This window comes from Homo sapiens, chromosome 7 (assembly GCF_000001405.40).
Source record: "Homo sapiens chromosome 7, GRCh38.p14 Primary Assembly".
Taxonomy (NCBI): Eukaryota; Metazoa; Chordata; class Mammalia; order Primates; family Hominidae; genus Homo; species Homo sapiens.
In genome coordinates this window covers 31,479,087-31,502,503 of record NC_000007.14, presented here as the reverse complement: position 1 = coordinate 31,502,503, position 23,417 = coordinate 31,479,087, and positions in this window count along the sequence as shown.

The following is a 23,417-nucleotide window of genomic DNA, read 5'->3' as shown; positions in this document are numbered from 1 at the left end:
ATCTGATCTTTGACAAACCTAAGAAAAACAAGCAATGGGGAAAGGATTCCCTATTTAATAAATGGTGCTGGGAAAACTGGCTAGCCATATGTGGAAAGCTGAAACTGGATCCCTTCCTTACACCTTATACAAAAATCAATTCAAGATGGGTTAAAGACTTAAATGTTAGACCTAAAACCATAAAAACCCTAGAAGAAAACCTAGGCATTACCATTCAGGACATAGGCATGGGCAAGGACTTCATGTCTAAAACACCAAAAGCAATGGCAACAAAAGCCAAAAGTGACAAATGGGATCTAATTAAACTAAAGAGCTTCTGCACAGCAAAAGAATCTACCATCAGAGTGAACAGGCAACCTACAAAATGGGAGAAAAATTTTTCAACCTACTCATCTGACAAAGGGCTAATATCCAGAATCTACAAGGAACTCAAACAAATTTACAAGAAAAAAACAACCCCATCAAAAAGTGGGCAAAGGACATGAACAGACACTACTCAAAAGAAGACATTTATGCAGCCAAAAAACACATGAAAAATGCTCACCATCACTGGCCATCAGAGAAATGCAAATCAAAACCACAATGAGATATCATCTCACACCAGTTAGAATGGCAATCATTAAGAAGTCAGGAAACAACAGGTGCTGGAGAGGATGTGGAGAAATAGGAATACTTTTACACTGTTGGTGGGACTGTAAACTAGTTCAACCATTGTGGAAGTCAGTGTGGCGATTCCTCAGGGATCTAGAACTACAAATACCATTTGACCCAGCCATCCCATTACTGGGTATATACCCAAAGGACTATAAATCATGCTGCTATAAAGACACATGCACATGTATGTTTATTGCGGCATTATTCACAATAGTAAAGACTTGGAACCAACCCAAATGTCCAACAATGATAGACTGGATTAAGAAAATGTGGCACATATACACCATGGAATACTATGCAGCCATAAAAAATGATGAGTTCATGTCCTTTGTAGGGACATGGATGAAATTGGAAATCATCCTTCTCAGTAAACTATCACAAGAACAAAAAACCAAACACCGCATATTCTCACTCATAGGTGGGAATTGAACAATGAGAACACATGGACACAGGAAGGGAAATATCACACTCTGGGGACTGTTGTGGGGTGGGGGGAGGGGGGAGGGATAGCATCAGGAGATATACCTAATGCTAGATGACGAGTTAGTGGGTGCAGCGCACCAGCATGGCACATGTATACATATGTAACTAACCTGCACATTGTGCACATGTACCCTAAAACTTAAAGTATAATAATAATAAATAAAAAATAATAATAAATTTTTAAAAAGTGGTTTATTTTGAGCCAATATGAGTGACCATGGCTTGGGGAAACACAAAGTGTGATGGAGGAAGTCAGGTTATAATGTGGTTTTGTACATTTCTGGGAGACAGGAATTGCAGGTAAAATAATAAATCAATACATGAGAGTTATATATTGGTTTGGCCCTAAAAAGTGGGACATCTCAAAACAGGAACTTACAAGGCAAAGATGGCTTTTAGGGATTCTTTAGTTGGCAATTGGTTGAAAGGGTTAAGCTTTATCAAAAAACTTTAAGTCAGCAGAAAGGAATGCCCAAGTTAAGATAAGGCGGTTTGTTACCTGGCATGTGATGCCAAACTAGGGTCAGATTGGAAGTAAGCCACACTACACTGGACCAAAAAAATCTGTTTAAGGAGATTTTATGGCTTATAAGGTGTTAAGTTTTCCCAGACCCATTGAAAAGGATTTTGAGCCAGGAAAAAAGGTCAGAGTTCAGTCTTCACAAGCTTTCAGTACTGTGTGAATTTTTCCTTCCTCAGCCTCAAACTTCACCAATTTTTTTATGGGATGGAACTTTTCAGAGTGTACTCTGCTAAAGTTCTGCCCTTTATATGTCCTAATTGAGCTCTGAGATTTATCGTCCCTGCCTTAGAATTGAAAAGTGGAATGTGGAAGGAAGACTGAAGGATAAAGACAGTACTAATCTTTTAGGTACTGGTCCTAGTTCTTAAGTCTGCAGGAGATGATAAGGAATGAAAGAAACACCTACTATTTCGTTAAATATTGAACCAGGGCATGGCACAAACTGATCTTTTTTTAAGTATTATATTGAGTATGGACGCATTAGAAATCCTAACAGTAACGTGTCTATAAATTCCAGTTTCTAATTCTGGGAATTTTCTCTTATTCTGCTTCCTTATGAGTATTTTAGTGAGAAGCTGGGAGAATCTGCATTGGGAGCTACTTACCAAGCAGCATTCTGAAGAAGAATTTTATAATGATGGTTGTTAGTAACCCTTTCGTAAAGATGGTCAAAATCATCAAATCATCATGCATTGATCGGTAAGTAACCTTAAGTATTGTCCAGTCCAGTGCATATACCTGAGATATGGATCTAAAATTTTAGAGAAGACTCTAAAATTTCACTCTCAGCCCCTCTCTCTACTCCTTGCTATAGGTCAGGGCTGCATCTGCAATGTCTCAGGGAAGTTGGGTCCTGATTGTCCTGACAGCTTTCCTCAGGGATCCTGGTGCATTCTGTCACATCTCACAGTTGCATCCTCTGTTCACACCAGGAAATGAATTCGTGTCTCTACCTTTCCTTTCCTCCTCATTCCCCCTCCCTCCCCAACTCCCACCACCCCCAGCAAAACATGCTAATCTCTGACAAAATTATTTCCCATTCATAATTATTTCCATTCACACTTGCAACATTCATATGAGAAAGGGTAAGAAGAAAAGTTGAGGCAGATCCTTGAGCTCAGTTGTAGGAAAAGCAAGTGAAGTGACACATTTGTTTATCTGTGTACATTTCCATGTTCCTCTTCTCAATTAGACATGGGGATGGTGCTTAGGTTCTCAGGCTCGTGTGCTCTCTGTGTGTTCTTTCTGTCTCTCTCTCCCTCATTCTCTTTCTTTCTCTCTGTCTCTGTGTCTCATACACACATACATACACACAAAGAGTTATTAAGGATTGCCTATCCCTGTCATGACCTTGACTGTCTTATCAGAGCAGAATAAAGTATCCAGTGGATCGTAATCCAAAGTGCACGGGATGTTAATATATCTTACATGGAAGCAAAGAACAGTCTCTTAAACAACAACGAATGGTGGTAGAAAGAGGCATGATGGCAAAATACATTTAGGAAATGGTGATTAAGCAGGAACAGTCCTGGTAGCAGGACTATGCTAATATGCCTTGAGATGCTCCCAACCAGGGTGGAATGAACAATGCTTCCTAATTTATTGAACCATGAATACCTCACAGGGATTGGGGCTTTTGCCCAGGACAATCATTTTTCAAAGCAGTGGACTAAATATCTTCCCCAGTTTCCCCCAAACCTTCTATATTTTTGGACTTTAGAATGAGAAAGAGCTGCATTTAAAACCAGATTAAGCTACTTGCTAGCTATGTGACCTCTGGCATGTTGTTAAATCATGCTAAGCTTCAGTTTCCTTTTCTACAAGAATTTAAATAATAATATGTGTTTCATTGGTTATTGTGAGCATTAAATGATAAAAATTTCACTCAAGTACCTAGTAGAATGCTTTATTCCTTTTCCCTGAAGCAAACATTTCTGATTAAAAATTTTCAGATATAATAAATTTGGTTGACCCTGCTCAACACACAGATGTCCAACAAGCAGCTAGTCTTTGAAGAAAATCTCCCATGCTCCCTCAGACCTCTATGTATTTGCCAAGGTGCCTAGACACTTCATATACTGAACATTTGTGCTACAGCATTGAAAACGATGCTAAAAGGTAGAGGCCCTGGTGAACAATAACAGCACTTATGGGTGTCAGCTTCTCAGATCAACATCTACAAACCCACAAGGCCCCTACAGAGGGAAGTGGCTGAGAGATCCTCTGTGTGGGGCCAGCACTCGGGGGCAGATTTTAAATTCTTACTCTACAACTCACTGGGTGGGGATAGGGTGACCAGTTCTTCCTTGTCCGCCCAAGTCATTCCTGATTTCAGCATTGAAAGTCCTGCATTTCAGCAACCCCTCAGTCCCAGGCAAGAGGGAAAATTGGTTCATCCTAGATGGGGATCTGAGGCCCATCATTAAACTCCTGAAGTCTTGGTATCCCATGTGAAGATAGGGGTCTAAGCCAAACAACCTCCAGCAACCATTCGGGGGCTCAACTTTGATGTTCTGGGACTTTTTTTTTTTTTTTTTTGAGACAGAATCTGGCTGTTGCTGCCCCAGCTGGAGTACAATGGTGCAATCTCAGCTCACTACAACCTCAGCCTCCCGGGTTCTCACAATTCTCCTGTCTCAGCCTCCAGAGTAGCTGAGATTACAGGCGCCCGCCACCATGCCTGGCTAATTTTTGTATTTTTAGTAGAGACAGAGTTTCACCATGTTGGCCAGGCTGGTCCCCAACTCCTGACCTCAGGTGATCCACTAGTCTTGGCCTCCCAAAGTGCTGGGATTACAGGCGTGAGCCACCGCACCCAGCTGGGACTTTTTTTGTTGTTGTTGCAAACTAGAAAAGAATTCAAGTTTGTCAGGGCTCAGAACACGGTACCCCAAAAAGGATGGTGCTTTCGTATGTGGAATATTTTTAGCTGAAGGAGATTGGAAACATCTCAGAAGCAAGAAATTCTCTGATCTTCTCCTCAGACATACACCTCTTTCTCTTTTCCTCATCTCTCCCTGAAGTTGAGTCATAGAAACTAGAACTCCTCCCCGCTAAAGCAAGCCATAAAACCTGGGAAGGTAACTCTCTGACCTCCTCTTGTTTCCCTTGAAGGTTCTCATGTGACAGGCGTCCTACTCCATTCCTGGGGAGCAGTGGTGGGGAAAGGAATATCATACGGACATGCAGGAAACAGTCTGAAGAAACAAGCCTTGCAAAATTCCCCCCAGTTTACCATTAGATCATATCCTTTTTGTACAATCACATTTCTCTACAACTATCTGCTTCTTTCATCAGACTTAGCATAAAAATATAGTTTTCCCTGGGTGTTGGAGTCTTCATTTCTGTTGGCCCCTGTGCCACCTAAAACTTTGTACATAAATTTATTATGCTTTTCTCTTGTTAATCTAGCTGTTGTTTTAGCGGTGTCAGCTGTGGACCTTGTAATGGGTGAAGAAAAGATATTACTTTTTCCTCCTTACATGTTCTAGCAGAATTTATGAATATAGACAGGATATAAAGTGATTTACTTTCAAGAAAACCTCGTTGGCTTGTGCTCATCAGCATGATGGTTTAGAATAAAGCCTTGATCCTATGACGACTGCTCTGTGACACTGGACAATTCCCCTAGCCTTTGCATACTTTGTTTATGGAGACTGATTGATGTATAAAACTCTTTAGCGTACTACCTAGTACCTTGTAAGTACTAGATTTTAAAAGTATGTATGTATGTGTTATTATGTACTCACTGATCAATCAAATATTTATTGAGCAATAACTGTGTGCCAGGCACTGGGGATACAATTCTTGCTCTCATTATATGGAAGTGTTCACTGAGAAGTCCATGCACAGTTTGAATAGTATTAGAATATCCAATCTTAAGGTTGCTATAATTCACTCCCTACCATCCAATGATTGAATCCACTTCACATATTACCCCAAGGGGTCTCCCAGGCTCTGCAGGACATGTGAATGGAAATGGGGATCACTCCACTTTCCAAGACAGCTGATTCAAATGTAGAGGCTATGGTGGTGGTATCATCTCCCTGCCTTCAAGGGAATCCATACCTCCAACACTGCAGATTTTGCCTCGCAAAAATAACTGGCATGTGCATGTCAAATACCCTTGACCCATGTTAAAAATCACAGCCAGCATATTCCTTCCTATCTTTTTTTAACAGTAATTCATAGCCAAGACATTATCTTTACCACCTTTCCTTTTGTGTGGTACCACTAGGGACCTCTGCCCTTCTTTTGTGTCAAATAGAGCTGATGCCACAATTTCTGACTTGATTAACTACAATGTCCACATGGCTGTTTGATTAACTGCAAAGTCCGCTTGCCCTCCTGCACAGCAAGGACTTCCCGTTATCATCATAGGATGCAGCAGAGAGTGTTTATGCTCACATCAGCGGTGAGGTCCGCTTCCCTAGGGGACAAGGTAGCTGTTTACTGCTGTGGAGCCAGAACAACAGAAGGAGAGCCGTTGTCCTTTGCTTATTCAGGGTCCTCATGGCCTCCATCAAAAGGAGCCCCAGGATTTCTATCTTCCCCTTTAGTGAAGGTATGGAAAAGCTAAGGTGGAGAAACAGGGTAGACATGCTAAGGATCTGGAAAAACTTTTTTTTTTCCATATTTGGAAGGGACAAAGATTATTCAAAATATTTTTTATGAGCACAAATGTTGATGTGCTGCATCATCTCCTGTCTTCTTTTTTCTCTACACTCAGACTCAGCACCCACTGGTGGCCAAGAACTTAGATCAAGTCTCTTTTCCTTCCCTTACACTTCCTCATTTCTTCTAACAATGATTGGCCAAACATTAAGGTTGGTTGATTGGGCAAATGAGATTTAGGAAGATTTGAGAATTTCAGGGCTGTTATCTCATAGGGCCAATGTGACTATCAGTGACTGGGATCAAATTCTGGTTTGCTCTTGGCTAACTATCTCATCTTGAATTGTAGTTCCCATAATCTCATGTGTCATGGGAGGGGCCCAGTGGGAGGTAATTGAATCATGGGGGTAGTTACCCTCATGCTGTTCTCGTGAACTCTCGTGAGTTCTCACGAGATCTGATGGTTTTACAAGGGGCTTTTCCCCCTTTGCTGGGCAATTCTCTTTGCTGCCACTATGTGAAGAAAGACATGTTTGCTTCCTCTTCTGCCATGATTGTAAGTTTCCTGAGGCCTTCCCAGTCCTGCAGAACTCTGAGTCAATTAAACCTCTTTCCTTAATAAATTATCGAGTCTTGAGTGTGTCTTTACTAGCAGAGTGAGAACAAACTAATATCCCCTCTAACACTCTCTGTTTCCTCACCTTCAAAGTGGGGGTAATGAGAGTACACTTCATAGAGTTGACCTAAATTTTAAATATGGTAATTGGTGTAAAACACTTAGAATGGGACCTGCCACTCAGTGAAAGAGTAGTAAATACATGTGCTTAATTCCTCCAAGAAGCTAGAGTTGAATTTGGAATCTCTTATCCTTTTACCTATATGCACCAGCTGCTTTCCCCTTTTAAACCTCAATAACATTTATAGAAGTTCATGGGCATGATTGATGCTGAGCAAATAAGTGTGGCCTCAAGGTCAGGATGAGGTTAGAATTAAGCCAAGATCACTAGGCTGCCTCCCATACCTCTCGAGTACAGGGCAAGGAGCTTCTGCCTGGCCTGGGCTCCCCTTCCTCCTCACAGCTCAGAGTGGACTGTTATTTAAAAATCTAGCTTATTTTGGGTTGATACTGTCTCCAGTCTCATAAAGGGGATGTGAAGTGGCTTATAAAATGAAAGCATGCAAGTGGGACAAGAGGAGGAGAACTAACATTTGTGGAGCACCTATTATGTGACAAATACTTCCATGTATATTGTGATATTTTATTCTCAAAATGACTCTGGAAGCTGTGTTTTAATAACCCCATTCAAGAGAAGAGAGAACAGTGGCGTGAGAGAAATGTTACTTGCCTGAAATAAAAAAGAAACTGTGTTCCAGAGTGAGGCTTTTTGTGGTTGTTGTTGTTTTTCTTTTTCTTTTCTTTCTTTCTTTTTTTTTTTTTTTTTTTTTTAGAGACAGGGCCTCACTCTGTCACCCAGGCTGGTGTGCAGTGGCGTCGTCGCAGCTCACTGCAGCCTCAACCTTGCGGGCTCAGGTGATGCTCCCTTCTCAGTCTCCCAAGTAGCTCAGACTACAGGCATGTGCCAACATGCCTGGCTAATTTTTGTATTTTTTGTAGGCATGGGGTTTCACCATGTTGCCCAGGCAGTTCTCAACCTCCTGGGCTCAAGTGATCCACCCACCTCAGCCTCCCAAAGGTCTTAAATTTAAGTCTGAGTCCAAAGTCCAAATTTTTGTCACCGACCAAGCTGCCTGACCAACTAAAAGATACTGAATGAAGCCATGCCAATTGCTAGAAAAGACTGAACTGTGAGGAGCCAGGAGAGCTGTATTTGTGCAGCTATTATCTCTTAATCCTGACACTGTCCCATAAGAGAAGTGTTTGTTGTCTCGTAGATGAGGATACTGAGGTTCAAAGAGGTTAGGTGACTTGCTCCGTAGGCAAAATGGAACTTGGTCTCAAAGCCAGTCCCCTTGAGAGCTGTTTCCTGGATCAGTGCTACTAAAAAGTTATATAGATTACTCCAGGAAAAAATCTGTCACTGACAAGGAAAATCCACGCATGGGAGGCCTCAACTTCCTTATCTGAGACAAGAAAATAACACTTCTCTCATGGGAGAGTGTCAGGATTAAGAGATGATAACTGCACAAATAGTTTTAATCCCTAAAGCACTTTATATGAGCATAAAGGATTACTAGTACCATTGCCATTGTGGTGACTCATCTGGGAGTCTGGGGGCAACAGCTGTTACACAACAACAGGAGCTCCCTTTTTGCCAAAAAGATAAGGAACGTGTAGAGGAAGTGGCCAAGTCCCCACTTTCAGATGCAAATAGAAAAGGAGTGGCCTCAGTTCATCATGGAAGAACTATTCCTGTTGCAATGTGCAAAGAACAATGAGGAAACAAAGAGGCTTTGAGGAAATGGCATAAATGAGCATGCCTCAGCCCAGCAGTCTGAGTTCTTCAGAATGCAAAAATTTGACTGGTGATTCAACCAGGGGCAGGAGCAACGGGAATTTCTCCTCATATACTTACAGTTCAGGTATTCATTTGATGGCATCCTTGATCATATTACCTCTTACTCAATTACTCTGCCATCATTGTACATGCAGCAGATATTTAACAAGTATTTGTTATGCTCCAGGTTTGGAGTAAGGGAAGTGAACAAGGCCAACAAAGTTCCTGGCCTCATAGAATGTACCTTCTAGTAGGGGAGGATGAACAGGAAACAACCAAGCAAATAAATAAGAAGAGGGTTTCAGGTGATAGTAAGAGTTATGGAGAAAACACAAGATGGTGGAGTTGAATCCAACAAGGGATTGGTGAAAGTCCTCTGCATCCTGAGGAGATGGGAGCTAAGCAATGGGCAGGAACTTGACCAGTGAACTGGCAATGCTCCACTCGCCCCATGCATGTGCCTTCCCTGCTCTTCTCTAACTCCACAAATAGCACCATTGCCTGGATCACTTACCAGCTGGTTTCCAGTGACTTTGGTCAATGAGAGACTCCAGGAGGCAGGAGGAGGGACAGGTGAGGACCTTGTTTCTCCTCCTCTTCCCTGCTTAGGAGTGTTTGGAGAGACTGTGGCCCTCTGGGACTGTAGCTCCCATTGAGTGACCCCTCCTCTGTGACTCCAGCTCTTTCTGGGCTCCAGTGGCATAGGTCCTCCCACTGCTACCCTAGGCCCTCTGACCATAGAGGGAGTAATGGCTTCTCACTGTTGTTACTCTCTGGGCTCTCTCCTTTCCTGGTTGTTCCCTTAACCCTACCCACACTTCTATCCCTTCATTACAGTATCTGCCTTAAAAACTGTGGAGTAGATTCTGCTTCTTGCTGGAATCTGGACTCATACCCCTTGTGAAGGAATAGGGATGAGCATTCCAGAGAGGAAACTATTATTTTATGGACAAAATAAAGAGGATAACTAACCTTTGTGTATTTTTTTTATAGATTATGAAGCATTTCCATAATGGTATCTCATTTAAATCTCATGACAACATAGAGAGCTTGGGCAGGTGTTATTCCTGTTTGTTTATTTATTTATTTATTTAGATGGAGTCTCACTCTGTAGCCCAGGCTGGAGTGCCGTGGCACGATCTCGGCTCACTGCAACCTCCACCCTCCGAGTTCAAGCGGTTCTTTTGTCTCAGCCTCCTGAGTAGATGGGATTACAGGCGCCCGGCTAATTTTTTTTTTTTTTTTTTTTTTGTATTTTTAGTAGAGACAGGGTTTCACCATCTTGGCTAGGCTGATCTTGAACTCCTGACCTCGTAATCCACCTGCCTTGGCCTCCCCAACTGCTGGGATTACAGGCATGAGCCACCACACCCGGCCCGTTATTCCTGTTTTACAAACAAGGTACCAGAGGTTCTGAGAAGTAAATTATTCACCAGATGCTATGAGTGGTCAATGCTAGAACCTAATCTCAAACCCAGGTTTCTGGCTCCAAGCCCAGGTTTCTTCCCCCGACACTGTGACCTAGCAGGCAGGTGGTAAGGAGAATCTAAGGACACTTAAGAGACCAGCTTACCAGTTTCAGTAACAGCTTATGGGATCTGTCACAGACAACAAATCACCAACTAGACTCTAGTTTAGTCATAGGTCACATGGATAGGAAACTCCTCTCAAGCTCAAAAGTGATCAAGACAACTATCAATTCTAATTATGGGGAAAGCCATATGATTAAACCTCACAAGTTGACACTTTTGTTTCAGAGTACCTGCATCTCCACCTTACTCAAAACATTTCTTTCTCCTAACAGGTATGAATTGTCACAAATCACCTATTTCAGAGGAACCAGAGAAGCTAGAAGTTTATAAGAATCATTTGGCCTGGTGCGGTGGCTCATGCCTGTAATCCTAGCACTTTGGGAGGCTGAGATGGGCACATTGCCTGAGCTCAGGATTTTGAGACCAGCCTGGGCAACATGGTGAAACTCTGTCTCTACTAAAACACAAAAAATTAACAAGGCATGGTGGTGCGTGCCTGTAGTCCCAGTTACTGACTGAGGCTGAGGCAGGAGAATCGCTTGAACCCAGGAGACAGGGGTTGCAGTGAGCCGAGATGGCACCATGCACTCCAGCCTGGGTGACAGAGTGAGACTCCACCTCAAAAAAAAAAAAAAAAAAGAATCATTTGATTAAAAATTATTAATAGAACTTTAAAATTCAAACAACTACCGTATGTTAAATTTATTTTGAACTTAAGATTTTTGTATAAATAGTTTTCATAAAGTGGGTCATATCTTCATAATTATAAGGCTGCCTTTATGAGCAATAGAGTATAGATCTAGGATTAACAGAAGAATTTATTCTTAAAAGCAAAGCCACAGAAAAATCCAATTTTCAGCAGTAGATCATTCCTTCTAAGATGTCCAGAAGCCACCGTCCAAATGAACTTATCATTTGCAGTTTAAAATATCTACATGCACCTCTGCAATACACCAATAGTTAGTCCTCTGGGGGTTTAAGAGCCAGATTGAACATCTGGATTTTGCAGCAAATCCTAAAGGTCACCAGCTTCAGTGTGGTGGAAGTAGATGGATAGATGGGCACATGACAATATGCAGCCACTGGGACAAACTGCTCCTGCTGGCCCAGGCCAGCCTCTGAAAGCTTAGATGCATCAGACCACATGGATGTCTGCTGAAGGATGAATTGTTATATGGCTTTGGAAAAAGTCAGTGTTTCCATTTCTTTCTCTCCCACTTGGCATTTTGGAGCCTGCTGTCAGGATTCACACCGATTTTTGGCTTGGTTTCTAAAGGCTTTTATTTTTTTTCCTACTACAGTTGAGCTTAAAGAAAAATAGCACAAAGAAATTGTTCAGAAGAAAGAAAATTATGCTCCAGATGGTTTTAAAGAACTCTAAACTGACCCAGAGCCCAAGTAAAGGCCTTTCCTTTATAAAACATCGAGGAAAATGGTATTGCTTTCATTTGGTCATAAAAGCAACAACTGAAATTGCCCTGTACATCCATAAGAATGCACCCTAGCATGTGTGTATATGTGTGCACTTGTACATCTATGAAGAGACAATACATATGTCCTATCCCAGGGACCTCATAGAATCTGTGGAGAATACCAACTTACAGTCTTCCAATTCCTTAACTGCTGCTCTGATAAAGGCCATCTCAAAAAATTGAGAGACAGTCAAATTCAGTTTCCCAGTAGTAGAAGTTTCTGACAAACATGCTTTGGAAAACATGGACTTTTCTTCAGCATATTTAAAATATGTCAGGGAAGATGAAGTCCCAGGCAATGTGGGAATATGGGAAAGGGTGATCCCTGGAGGTCGTGAGGAGACTGGGAAGCTGCATTTTTAACATGTTTTTAATTACAGATCACAGAACCTGAACTCAAACAGGCTTAAGCAAAACAGTAAGTAATATGGACTTATCAGAAGGTTTCTGGCGTAATGCACGGAATGAAGGAAGCAGGGCAGCATCCCAGGGCCAGAGCCTGGGACGGGAAACTCACCACCATTCCAGCTTTCCATCCATCCAACCTTTCTATCAGCCAGCCTGTTGTTTATTTCATTCTCTCCCAGTGTGTACACATTTTCTCCTTGAGGCAGGGAATCTGGCCGCAGGGAGTTTGGGGTCCAATTACGAAAGAGGCATCATCTTTCCTGTTGGTTCCGGTTAGAGTAAACCTCAGGGAAGTAATCTGATGCGTTCAACTTGGGTCCCAGTTTCTTCTGTTGACCCATCACTAAGTCCAAGCCATGACTGCCCAGCCTGGGTTCCCCAGGGACAGAGATCAGTCAGCACACAAAAAAGCGACAATGTGAGAGAAGCAGTCACAAAGGATGGTGGTGGAAGTGCACAGCAGACATAAAAACAAGTGTCCAGGCCAGATGCAGTGTCTCACACCTGTAATCCCAGCACTTTGGGAGGCCAAGGCAGGCAGATCACCCGAGGTCAGGAGTTCAAGACCAGCCTTGCCAACATGGTAAAACCCCATCTCTACTAAAAATACATAAATTAGCTGGGCATGGTGGCACATGCCTGTAGTCCCAGCTACTTGGGACGCTGAGGCAGGATAATCACTTGAACACGGGAGGCAGAGGTTGCAGTGAGCTGAGATCGCACCACTGCACTCCAGCCTGGGCCACAGAGTGAGATTCCATCTCAAACAACAACAACAACAAAAAAACCAAGTGTCCACCATGGCAGCTAAAGGAGGCATCTCTGGCAGAGTGGGATTGTGCTAATCACACTCAATATCCCAAATCATATACAATTCAAATATGGTGCACATGTTTTGAAGTAGGGAGCATACGTCTCACCGTGGCTTACAGATGCTGCATGATGTGGCATGCTACCTCGTCAATCTTGCATGGCATGTTCCCCTCTGCCTAATGACACTGCTCTCCATTCAGGTCCTGGACCACACACAGCAGGCTCTTTCCCTCCTAGGACTTTAATGCATTTCATTTCTTCTGCCTATCAGGGTTTCTCACTTGTTATTTGAATTGTTAAGACCTTGTCATCCTTTAGGGATGGTGTCCTCAGGAAGGGCTTTCCTGAACACCCGATTTAAGTAAACCTTATTCTCTTCTTGTTTATCAGAACACTTAGTTTAGTTTTCCTAACACTTCACAAGTTTGATACATTTATTTGTTTGCTTAATTGTTCATTTTGCCCTTTCCACTAGACTGTAAGCTCCTTAAGGGTAGGTACCCTGTCAGATTTCATGGATCGCTACTCCCAGCATCTGAGAATGTGCCCTACCCATAGTAGAGGCTCGATAAGTATTTGTTGAATTAATAGATAGACAGATGAATTCATTGTCCAGATGAATGCAGCAGCAAGTGAGAAAGAAAAAGCAAAAATGAAACCGCCCCCGCAAAAAAGTTAAGTGGGGTATACCGAGTGGATGGGCCAGGAGGGCCTGCTGCAGGACTCGCACAGGGCTGCTGCGCCCCCGAACACCAGGGGGCGCCATTGACATGGACTACAATGATACCCGGGCTCCTTGGAGTTAGTATGTCCAGCCCACATCCTTTCACGGTTCGGTACATCTCAGTTAGAAACAAATGAATCAATCCTAGAAAACCACAGAGCTTCGGGGTTGCGTTGAATTTCAGAGCAGTGCTTCCTAAGCCATCTGTGATGAAGGAACATTTTTGTAAAATTATTTCTAATCCATTGCTCACCAAAACTCTTGTAAACTGCGATACTAAAAAGAAATTGCTTAAAAAAAGGAAATAACAGAAGACATACAAAATTAAAGCCCAAATTTGCAAATGGGTGGAACACACATAAAATCATTCTGGCCAATTACTATTAAAATATAGAAACACTTTGACCTTCTGTATATTCCAGGCCAACTACAGTTTATAGAGTGCCACTGGTCACTAATGACCAGTAATGTAATGTCAATGAGAAGGGCAGCAAGTGAGGTGAGTCGGGTAAGAGCAGAGTCGGGTCAGATACTGTCTTTATTTACAATTTTAAAATTTTGTTCATCATGGATTTTTTTCACCAATTTTGATTTTTCCAAAAAATATTGTATTAAGATATTTTCTTGATTACTGAATTTTTGGTGCTTCCTTAATTTTTGTGTCCAAGGTAAATCCCTCAGTCACCATTCCCTAGTCCCAGCTGTGGGAAGAGCATAAGATTTTCTATTATACACAGAGAAAATTAGGCTAAAAGAGGTTAATTGCTCAATATCAGTGGATAAGTTTCAGGGGCCTTAACACAGGTCTAACCCCAAATCTATACAGGTTCCATTGCATCATACAACCTCCCATGCTGAGCAAGCGCTATTCATTCATTCATTCACTAGCAGTGCCCCCGAAGATCTACTTTCAGTGTGCAGGACCTGTGTAACTGGGAATGAGTACATCTGGAGCAGTAAGTAATGGGTAAGTGACAGGTGACCTTGAATGTGAAGCTGAGGAATATGGATTTTATCTGGAGTTTGTAGGTTCTAGCTACTGCATTCCAGAAGTGGTAGGTCAGATTTATATTTAGAAAGTTCATTCTGAGAGCAGTAGGGTGAATGAGTAGACTGGAGTGGGCAGAACTAGAGGCAGGTGCCCAAATAAAAGGATACAGTAATCCAGGGGAAAGATGACAAGGGAAGTAAAGATGTTGGCCATATTGGAAAGGACCCTTATCATTGGTATCATGAGGGTTCAAGAGAAGAATGAGAATGAATCACCCCTGCTACCCCCAGGCTGTGCCCGGGCATGCTCATTGTGGTAAGGAAACACAGCATAGGTCTGTTGGAGAAACCAAGCAATATATAACTATGTGTATAGGGGGTGGGGAGGGATAAGAAGGAAAACACAGTAATGAGAATCTGAAGTAAGGAAAACGGGTACAAGGAGACATGGAAATGCAAGAAAATGGTGAAGGAGAGAGCAGAAGGCAGGCAGCATCTGCGTGCTCAAGGACAGGAGGAAGGAGGAAGGCGGGAGTGGGCGGAAACAGCAGTCAGATTCTCAGCAGCACTAAAATTGTCCCTGCCACTTGGCAGGAGGCAGTTCAGACATCGCAGATCCAAGAGCCTTGTCCTTTCCTCATTCATGTAACTGCACAGGGAGCCAATTGGTGAGATTCATGGACCAAAGGATCCCTTGGCAAATATCAGTTCTATCCTCGGTGATGTTTTAAGCCCTCAAAGCTTTGTTTATCAAAGTGATGACAATGACAATGAGTTATTTCTGCTAGAGTAGACTATAAAAAATTTAGTCTGGCTGATAAAAAAGTTTATGAAGTGCAGTTCAAACATATTTATAATATCTCTTAGGAAAAATTAATTTAGAATAAAAATAAATACATAATAGATACTGTGAGTCAATCTTTAGAGACCCAAATGGCACTCTTGATTAATGACCATTTTTCACCCATATTATGCATTTGATTCTTTCAACAGTATTATAAAATAGAAAGGGCAGGGATTATTACTTCCATTTTGTGGAAATGAAAACTGATGCCTAGCAGGGTGCAGAGATTTGCCCAAGGTTACACATATGCAAGGTGGCAGAACTGGCCCTAGGACCTGGCTGTCTTGACCAGAGCATTTCTTCCACTAATTTCCAGGATTCCACCCAAAGCAGCCTGAGTTTGTGGCTTTCTGGGAAGTGCATCATGATGATCATTCATTATCCTCTCCCGAGGATCTGCTGAGTAATAGTTTTTAAAGGATCACATTGCTCCCAGGGAGGCAGCTGCAGAACCATGGACTCACAGTCAAAAGGCTTAGATGCTCCCACACTGTAACTTACCATCCCTATGGCTTAGGGCAAGACACTAAACCCTGGACTCTCAGTTTTCTTCTCTGCAAAAGAGTGGCAGTTGTCCCTATCTCATTAGGTTGTTATAAAGTGCTATTTTCCATCATAATAGCAAATAGGGGACAAAGCGGTGGAACAAAGGACCCAGCAAATATGATTGGGGGAAAAAAAAGCGAGAAACCCAGCATATTTAGGGCCCCCAGGGAGAGGCAGACCACCCTAGGTGTATGAGTGGGGAAGGAGGCACTCAGAAATATGGTTTGGAATGAGCATGAGTCTTGTGATCATCTGGAGGACAGAAGGAAAGCATACTTCCTGAGTACCTACTGTGTGCAGGGACTGTGCTAGACACTTTCGAGTACATTTTTTTAAAAAAGTATTTATTTCAATAGGATTTTAGGGAGCAGGTGGTGTTTGGTTCCATGAATAAGTTCTTTAGTGGTGATTTCTGGGATTTTGGTGTACCCATCACTCAAGCAGTGTACACTGTACCCAATATGCAGTCTTTTATCTCTCACCCCCTCCCACCCTTCCCCCAGTCCCCAAAATCCAATGTATTATTCTTATGTCTTTTTGTCCTCATAGCTTAGCTCCCACTTATGAGTGAGAGCTTACGATGTTTAATTTTTCATTCCTGAGTTACTTCACTTCGAATAATGGTCTCCAATTCCATCAAAATTGCTGTGAATGCCATTATTTCTATCCTTTTTATGGCTAATAGTATTCCACAGCGTATACATATATATCTCACATTTTCTTTATCCACTCATTCATTGATGGGCATAAAGGCTGGCTCCATATTTTTCAATTGCAAATTGTGCTGCTATAAACATGTGTGTGCCTACCTGACTTCAAACTATACTACAAGGCTACAGTAACCAAAACAGCATGGTACTGGTACCAAAACAGAGATATAGATCAATGGAACAGAACAGAGCCCTCAGAAATAATGCCGCATATCTACAACTATCTGATCTTTGACAAACCTGAGAAAAACAAGCAATGGGGAAAGGATTCCCTATTTAATAAATGGTGCTGGGAAAACTGGCTAGCCATATGTAGAAAGCTGAAACTGGATCCCTTCCTTACACCTTATACAAAAATCAATTCAAGATGGATTAAAGATTTAAACGTTAAACCTAAAACCATAAAAACCCTAGAAGAAAACCTAGGCATTACCATTCAGGACATAGGCATGGGCAAGGACTTCATGTCCAAAACACCAAAAGCAATGGCAACAAAAGACAAAATTGACAAATGGGATCTAATTAAACTAAAGAGCTTCTGCACAGCAAAAGAAACTACCATCAGAGTGAACAGGCAACCTACAACATGGGAGAAAATTTTTGCAACCTACTCATCTGACAAAGGGCTAATATCCAGAATCTACAATGAACTCAAACAAATTTACAAGAAAAAAACAAACAACCCCATCAAAAAGTGGGCGAAGGACATGAACAGACACTTCTCAAAAGAAGACATTTATGCAGCCAAAAAACACATGAAGAAATGCTCATCATCACTGGCCATCAGAGAAATGCAAATCAAAACCACTATGAGATATCATCTCACACCATTTAGAATGGCAATCATTAAAAAGTCAGGAAACAACAGGTGCTGGAGAGGATGCGGAGAAATAGGAACACTTTTACACTGTTGGTGGGACTGTAAACTAGTTCAACCATTGTGGAAGTCAGTGTGGCGATTCCTCAGGGATCTAGAACTAGAAATACCATTTGACCCAGCCATCCCATTACTGGGTATATACCCAAATGAGTATAAATCATACTGCTATAAAGACACATGCACACGTATGTTTATTGCGGCACTATTCACAATGGCAAAGACTTGGAACCAACCCAAATGTCCAACAATGATAGACTGGATTAAGAAAATGTGGCACATATACACCATGGAATACTATGCAGCCATAAAAAATGATGAGTTCATATCCTTTGTAGGGACATGGATGAAATTGGAAACCATCATTCTCAGTAAACTATCGCAAGAACAAAAAACCAAACACCGCATATTCTCACTCATAGGTGGGAATTGAACAATGAGATCACATGGACACAGGAAGGGGAATATCACACTCTGGGGACTGTGGTGGGGTCGGGGGAGGGGGGAGGGATAGCATTGGGAGATATACCTAATGCTAGATGACACATTAGTGGGTGCAGCGCACCAGCATGGCACATGTATACATATGTAACTAACCTGCACAATGTGCACATGTACCCTAAAACTTAGAGTATAATAAAAAAAAAAAAAAAAAAAAAAAAAAAATAGGAGAGCAAAAAAAAAAAAAAAAAAAACATGTGTGTGCAAGTATCTTTTTCATATAATGACTTCTTTTTCTCTGAGTAGAGATGCAGTAATGCATTGCTGGATCAAACAGTTTGAGTACATTATTTATTCAATGACTGCTTTTTGACAACTTACCATGTGCTGAGCTCTGTTGTGAGCACTGGCAATACCCAAGTTGGGAGAGAGGGGTTGGGATGGCCCTGGAGGCCCCCCTCTTCCCCTTGCTGTGGGTTAGCAAAGAGAGGTTGTTCCTGAGACAGTGACCAAAGCACACAGCCAAGCACTCTGGAGGCTCCACCTCTCTGATGAGGCTGCTTCTCTATTAGGGAGCTTTTACTTTACAAGATCACCCATTCTTACAAATATGCAGGACAAGGTGGGAGTGGAGGCTTTCCCTCTGCCAGAGACCTGTCTATAGTCAACCTGACCTGGGCACCCTTCTTCTCTGTGGAATAATGAACTTGGAGGATTATGAACACGCAACAACTCTCCTGCTTGTGATTTTCTTTCCAAGGGGTTGCTGTCTTGCTACAAGTCATAGGAATGGCTATCTAAGACTTTGATTATTTCAATAATTCTATAAAATAGAAAAGGCAAGGATTATTATTTCCATTTTGCAGAAATGAAAACTGAGGCCTTAGATAGAAGGTCCTATTTCTATCACATGCTATCAGTGGCAAGTGTGTCTATGCCTTTGTTGTAGAAAACAAAGCTAACATGAAGCTAATATCCCTGTGGATGAGGCAGACATTCAGCAGTTAAGTGAAATATACCATGCCATAAAAACCTCTCGTCTTTACAACTGTGCAGGTTTGAACCCCCTCAGGTGAGAGTTGTAACTCTCACCCAGCTACGTCCAACGCAAAAGCACAAACTTTCTTTCCCCTGCACTAGCCAATGCCAAGGGGTTCAGGTCTTGTTGCGGATAGTTTGGAGACCCTAAGGACAACCTCTGCCAACCTGACAATTTGGTGGCCAACTGACCCTGAAGAGCACACTGCAAGGCCTCCTAGGAGCATCTCTAAAATGGTCATTTATTTGTGGGCAGCAGATTTAAACACTCTCAGAGCTTGGACCTCAAGTCACCTCAATGATCATTGTATATGAGGAATAAAGTGGCCAAGACATGACTAGTGCATGAACAGTTTACAAGCTAGTAAAGAGAAATCATGTGATTTGAATCTCCATGTTCTTCACATTTCTGCCTCAGGTCCCCAGGTCCCCTGGGCATTCTCAGCTGCTCCTATGACTTCTGCTGTCATCTACAGGCTTGATGAATTCCCAAAACCTTTATCCCCAGCCTAGGTCTCTCTTCTGCACACCAGACCCATCCACTCAGCGGCCTCCCAGGTATTTCCACGTGTATTCCAGAGACACTGCAAATTCTGCCCTCTCCCTATTTTCAGTCTTCCCTTACATAGTCACCGTCAATCCTGCCACCAAGCTAAGAACCAAGAATCAATTACCCTCAATTTTTCCCTCACCCTTTCTTCCTCCAGCCACTCCGTTACCAAGCCCTGCCAAGTCTTGCATCTCTGGACTCGTCCTCTCCCTTTCCACACCTCCTCTGCCTTAGATCCAGCCCTAGCCCTCTGACCTCAGGCTCAGAATAGTTTGCTGACTGATGTTAAAGAAAAAATTATTCATGACACTTGTTACAGATGTCAAGAAAGACTTTATTCGGAGGTGGGGGATTGCGGGGTAGGTAGGACATTTCTGCAATGAGGTCTCACAGTTGGGGAGAGAGACTGGGCTCAACTCCAAATACAACAAGGACAAGTGGAGATTTATAGCCAGGGAGCAGGGTGGCAGTCAGTGCATGACAAATTACTAAGAGGAGACATCCATGTAAGGGGGATTCCAGCTAAGCTGAGGACAGGATGATTGCTGAAGACAGGCCAGGATAATAAGATATCAAGAGAAGGGCAACAAGAAATTTGATGAGATTACCAAGGGTGGTCAGACACCAAGATGTGGGGGATTTTTGCTCAACCAACCCAGCATCTTGCTTTGCTAAACCAACCCAGTATCTTGCCCAAACTGGACAAAATGGACAAAGCCACTGGATTAAGGGTCAAGCCCACTTCAGTTACCCCACTCTAGTCCCCCCTCCACCGTGCGCCACTGGGATCATCCTGTAGTGTACCTTTAGCAGTTATTCTCCTGTGCCCAGAAGCTTGTAGAAAGGCCACACTCCCAAATATGGCTCAGCAGTCTCTCTCTTTCATCTCCTCTCTCATTCTTCTTCTGGAAGGGACCTATGTCTGGCTCCATTAAACCCCTCACCGATCTCCAAACATAACTTGCCATTTGGGGGCAAGTTATGTTTGGAGCTATATTTGCAGACTTAACTTGCCATTTAAGTCTGCAAACCCTTCCTAGAAGGCCTACCCTCTCATCAGCCTGAAGAACTCCTCCCATCTTCTAAGACCCAGCACCATCCCATGGCTACTAAAATGCCTTTCCCATTCTCCCCCTGGCTAGGGAGAGTTGGGCTTCTCAAAAATCTCAGAAAAACATAGTTTAATTTATCTTCTTAACATGCTTGTTCCTATTCAACTTTGAGCTGTGTAAAGAGCTCTTTGTATCTTTAGGGCCTAGAAGTTTTTATATAATAATAATATTAATAGGAGCTGTAATAACCATAATGTCTATCACTTATATAATAATAGACTACTGTGTTCCCGGCAACATATATGTGCAGGCATGCATATATATTCAAGTAATCTTGTGAGGCATGATTCCCATTTTACAGATGAAGAAACTGAGGCAAAGATGTTACCTGACTAGGAGAATATCACACAGCTAGTATGTGACAAAACTGAATTTCTAAGTCAAGACCAGCATCCCTGCTCTTTAGTAAGAAGTTTTACTACATCACACAGGGGTGCTCTGTGACTGTATCTAAGATACAGCTGGCTGTCTGAGCAACTAAAACATGAGCCACAGGGCGATGAGGATAATGAAAATGGTTAAAGCCAAGAGACCAGGAGCTATGATGCACCTCAACAGTGGCACGTAAGTGGGTGACATTAGAGTGTTTGCCGAGTGGAGAAGATGGTGTAGACAGAAGGAATGGGGCAAACAGGCAAAACTTGGGAAAGATTGCAGCACATTTAGGAGAACATTAGGGAATCAAGTGTGGCTGCAGAACTACAGAGCAATATTTAATTCAATAAAGGGAATGTCTCCCTTGGAAGTTAGAAGTGTTTTCATTGCTTGGCACTTCTCTCAAGCCTGCGGTATGACTTTCGTGGGCCCTGGGCGCTTTTGCCTTTGTGGGCCCTTCTCCTATAAAGAGCATTAAAAATTATATTTTGTGACTGCATTGGTATGAAGATAAACATATTAAAATTATATATTAGGGGCTGGGTGCTATGGCTCATGCCTGTAATCCTACCACTTTGGGAGGATAAGGTGGGAGGATCACTTGAACCCAGAAGTCCGAGACCAGCCTGGTCTATACCATAAGACCTTATCTCAACAAAAAAATTAAAAAGTAATAATCAATTAAAATTATATATTAAAATATTATATTTAACTTAAAAGTTCATTTTTTCCCTGATGTTAAAATAATTTAAAATGGGCCCTGAAAAGATTGTAAGCCCTAGATACTTTGTCTTTTGTGCCTAATGAACAAATTGGCCCTGACTTCTCTCTTAATGGTACAAATTGACAAGGCCCTCAGTTGTGTCTCAGGACTGAACTGAAGGTAACTCTGACTGAGTTAGTGTCCTCAAAGGTCATTGCTTATTATTAATGTTATTACTCACAAAGTAAGAAAATAGGCTGTCTCAGCTCTGTGGAGCTTTCTGACTAAAATGTCTCCTTTGTCATTTGTGAGGTACTTACCCGCTCATAAATCTCTTTTAAGCTTATCGTCCAATGTAATTCTCACAAATTCCCATTATTCATGTAAGGAAACTGAGGCTGAAGAAGGTAGGCTGCCTGGTTTCACAGCTCGCATGTGGCAGAGGATGAGGCAAGCCCAGGTCTTCTCACTCTCACCCCACGCTCAACATCAGTGGGTTTGTCCCAAGAAATAACCACTGGGATAGAAGAGCAGCTGTTTAAATCCACACATGGTTTTAGGTCATGAACTTGGAGCCGGCCACGTGGTATAGGGGAAATCGACCTGGGATTGGTGTCGGGGCCCTCAGCTTCTACAATATCATAGCCATGTGCCCTGGGGCATGTTGCTTAACCATTCAGGGTACCATTTTGTCTTAGTCTGCTTAGGCTGGAAATCTGAGATCAAGGTGCTAAACGATTGGCTTCTGGTTGGGAGCTGTCTTCCTGGTTTACAGGTGGCTGCCTTCTCTCCGTGTCCTCACATGGCCTTCCTCAGTGCGTGACCTGAGGGACAGAGACAGCTTGCCTCTCTTCCTCTTCCTACAAAGCCACTAATCCCAGCATGAAGACCCTACATTTATAACCTAATCGAATAAGGTTACATTACCTCCCAAAGGCTCCATTTCCAAATACCATCACATTGGGAGTCAGCTCTTCAACATATATAGTTGTGAATTCACATATATATATGAATTGTGTCCCCCCCTGCCGGCCCCAACATATTTGGGGGTGGGGCCCACAATTCAGTTCACATTGCTTAACATTCTGAGCATCACTTCTTGTGTTGGTCAGGGTGAGCCAATTAGCACTTCTTGAATCCAAGATGCGGGCATAACAGAACATTTGGGAAAAAAATAAACTGAAATTCAATGAGCAAATAGATATTTTTAAAACTACCTTACTAAAGAGTAGATATTTGACTTTAAAATGATTAATTTCTTAGACTTTATCTTTGCTGGTGTTCTCGTGGCCTGCCCACCGGCAGGTGATAAACTGAACTCAGGTACTAATCCCTCATCTAGTCTTCTTCCAGACCAAATGCACCTGTCCAAATCCTCAAACATTTCACTTTACAGTACTTAAAATGTATCGGGCACCATGCTGGACCGAAGCAGGGCAGGGGAAGGAGAGAAAGGTACACAGCCGCACACTAACACTGGCATGAGAGTCTACACAGAAAGCAGGTTTTGACAAGAAGAGAATGACCAGGATTATATTGGGTGCTGGAGCCG